This window comes from Homo sapiens, chromosome 3 (genome assembly GCF_000001405.40).
Source record: "Homo sapiens chromosome 3, GRCh38.p14 Primary Assembly".
Classification (NCBI taxonomy): Eukaryota; Metazoa; Chordata; class Mammalia; order Primates; family Hominidae; genus Homo; species Homo sapiens.
In genome coordinates, this window is record NC_000003.12 from 165,981,949 (window position 1) to 165,985,257 (window position 3,309).

At 35.0% G+C, this 3,309-nt stretch overlaps 1 annotated feature.

Moving 5' to 3' along the window:
- Positions 2,520–3,098: an enhancer, noted in NCBI's record as "OCT4-NANOG hESC enhancer chr3:165702256-165702834 (GRCh37/hg19 assembly coordinates)". NCBI's record gives its function as "activates a minimal SCP1, AML or CMV promoter by ChIP-STARR-seq in primed H9 embryonic stem cells {active_cell/tissue: H9 hESC(primed)}" and the evidence as "EXISTENCE:reporter gene assay evidence [ECO:0000049][PMID:30033119]".

A 3,309-nucleotide genomic window follows, 5' to 3' on the forward strand; every position in this document is an offset into this window, starting at 1 on the left:
AGAAAATAGGTGTGACCTACTGAAAAGAGCTAGTATGTGAAAATCATTCATGTGGATTATCATCCTAGTTTTATGATTCCTAGATATACATTTGAACAGTTTATTTTGGCAGTGCTGGTAGTGGTACTCATTGAACACTCGATACTTTCTAGGACAAAAGTACATGTTTTCTATAAACTCAAAAGTTCTTTCAGCTCTCAAATTTTAAAAAAGGTAAATGGAAACATGCAACATAAAGGGACAAGAAAAGTGACTATGGTTTTTGTAAGTATTTATTGAAGACTATTGAGAGAATGAAAATCTACAAATAATGCTCATCATCATTGGCCATTAGAGAAATGCAAATCAAAACCATAATGAGATACCATCTCACACCAGTTAGAATGGCGATCATTAGGAAACAACAGGTGCTGGAGAGGATGTGGAGAAATAGGAACACTTTTACACTGTTGGTGGGACTGTAAACTGGTTCAACCATTGTGGAAGACAGTGTGGTGATTCCTCAGGGATCTAGAACTAGAAATACCATTCGACCCAGCCATCCCATTACTGGGTATATACCCAAAGGATTATAAATCATGCTGCTATAAAGACACATGCACACGTATGTTTATTGCGGCACTATTCACAATAGCAAAGACCCGGAACCAACCCAAATGTCCAACAATGATAGACTGGATTAAGAAAATGTGGCACATATACACCATGGTATACTATGTAGCCATAGAAAATGATGAGTTCATGTCCTTTGTAGGGATATGGATGAAACTGGAAACCATCATTCTCAGCAAAGTATCGCAAGGTCAAAAAACCAAACACTACATGTTCTCACTCATAGGTGGGAATTGAACAATGAGAACACTTGGACACAGGAAGGGGAACATCACACACTGGGGCCTGTTGTGGGGTGGAGGGAGAGGGGAGGGATGGCATTAGGAGATATACCTAATGTAAATGACGAGTTAATGGGTGCAGCACACCAACATGGCACGTGTATACATATGTGACAAACCTGCACGTTGTGCACATGTACCCTAGAACTTAAAGTATAATAATAAAAAAAATATATATAAAGATTAGTAGAATTTAATGATGAGATGCCAACAGGCTGTTATCTAAATAAATAGGTCAAGTACATAAATGAAATCGCATCTCTGGTGAATTTAAATGGACTAACACTCTCATTCTAAATAAAATTTCTGTATCATTTTTAAACTCTGAGTTCTAAATTATCTAGATTGGAAATTCACTTCCCATATTGAATAATCAATTGCTGAGTTTTTGCTTTTCACCAGTGTGCTTATTAAACTAAATACTCATGCAAAGACTTGAGTAAGTAAATATAATGCATATCCTGGGGATTTGAATTTTAAAAGAGCCACATTTTTATACTGAATCAGGTATCAATAAATTGTGGAGTAGTACTCAAAACCTCAATGCATTTTTAAGATAAAACTTGTAATATAAAAAACACCTATTGTCTTATGTTCTCAAGCTCCCTGCAGTTTCAGTTTGAGAGACAGGATGTTGATTTAAGTGTTTGGAATGTGTCTGTTTAGGAAGGAAGAGTTTTTCGTGGCATAGCAGAATTCTTTTTACTGTTCCCTATTTAATAGTCAACAAATATTTATAGAGTACTCAAAACATCGAGTTATTCTTGCCTTTCTGGGCTAGTAGGAAAACACAATTTAAAGCTTTCTTACAATCAGTCAGAAGCATGTGGCTACTTCTGATCAATCAAATATAAAAGTGAAAAATGCCACTTTATGCTGAAGCTATGAAAATATCCTTCACAATTATCCAGGAGTCTATTCTTTACTTCAGGAATGGAGGAGCTCAAGAGTTTCTGTTGCTGTGGCTAAACGTCATCATGCAGAGCAGGGTACCACATTGATATGTATAGGACTGATGGAATAAATGAAAAATAAACTTTTGTTGTCTTGAACCACTACGATTTGGGGGGTTCAGATAAGGCACTATAACCTAACAGATGCAAATGCTATTATGTATGTGGCATAGTTCCAGGTCTTTGGAACTCATTGGATGACAAAAGGAAATACAGAGCCCTACCCTACTGAAATTTACTGTATACAGAATCACAACATTTGTGGTAAATATATTGGAAATAAGTAGTTAGCGAAGGGGAATGAAGAGGAGCATAAGTAAATAATACTTATGTTAGATAGAATAATGCCCTTACAAATATATGATGTGATAATCACTGAAAACTATAAATATTTTTCTTTACATATCTAAAGGGACATTACAGATGTGATTAAATTAGGGACTTTAGATGGAGAGTTTATCGTGGATTATCCAGGTGGGCTAAATGTAATAATGCTGGTCCTTATAAGAGGGATGCTGAGGAGTCAGACTCAGCTAGATGTGATAAAGGAAGCAGAGGTTGGAGTAATGCAAGCACAGAAGCCAAAGAAATTGGTGGACTCTGGAAGCCAGAAAAGGTAAGAAAATATATTCATTCCCAAAGCATCGAGAAGAATGCAGCCTTGCCAACCTATTTTAGGCTTCTGATTTCCAGAAATTTAAGATAATACATTTGTGTTGTCTTAAGCCACTACATATGTGGTAATTTGTAATAGCAATAGAAAAGTAATGCAATGGTATATCTAAAAATAAATGTTACAAAACCAGGTAAACTCACCTTCTTGACAAACTTTGCAGTTTTCAAGAATGGATAATATCATTGACTGACCTTGCAGTTGATGTGATAAAAGCCTTGGACGTGTTGTAAGAAATACCAGTAGTTCTTTCTACTATTCAGCTACTTTACCCTTAACATATGCAGGAATGTTTCTTACAGCAAGGCCATCAAGCTCAGTCTACTTTGTCCTGTTGGTATTTGCTACCTCTCATTTATACCTCAACATTTTTCTCTTTCCTCCAACACCAAACTGAATTTGTACAAGATGGTTTTTCTGCAACTGTTTAATTCCATTGCAACTTTTAGACAGAAAAGGACCAATTTATGGGTTTTTCATTTTGAGAATAAGCAAATAAATAACAAAAGAGGTTACAAATTGTTCAAATTTCTTATAGCCTGAGTTACAGGTCTATTTTTAAGGGATCTCATTGGCATGGTAGCTAAAAGATAAATTAAGCTTTTGTCCTTATAAATGAACCCTTTCATTGATTTCTTAAGAAATTAAATTAGATTTTGTCTAAAATTAGGTTTTGATATGTACCTGAATTATAAAAAAGATCCTTAATAGGCCTGACATTTATGTTTTTTTATTCCTGCATATATTTTTGATAATGCTATTTGTGTTTGGATGTACATATGTACCAGGA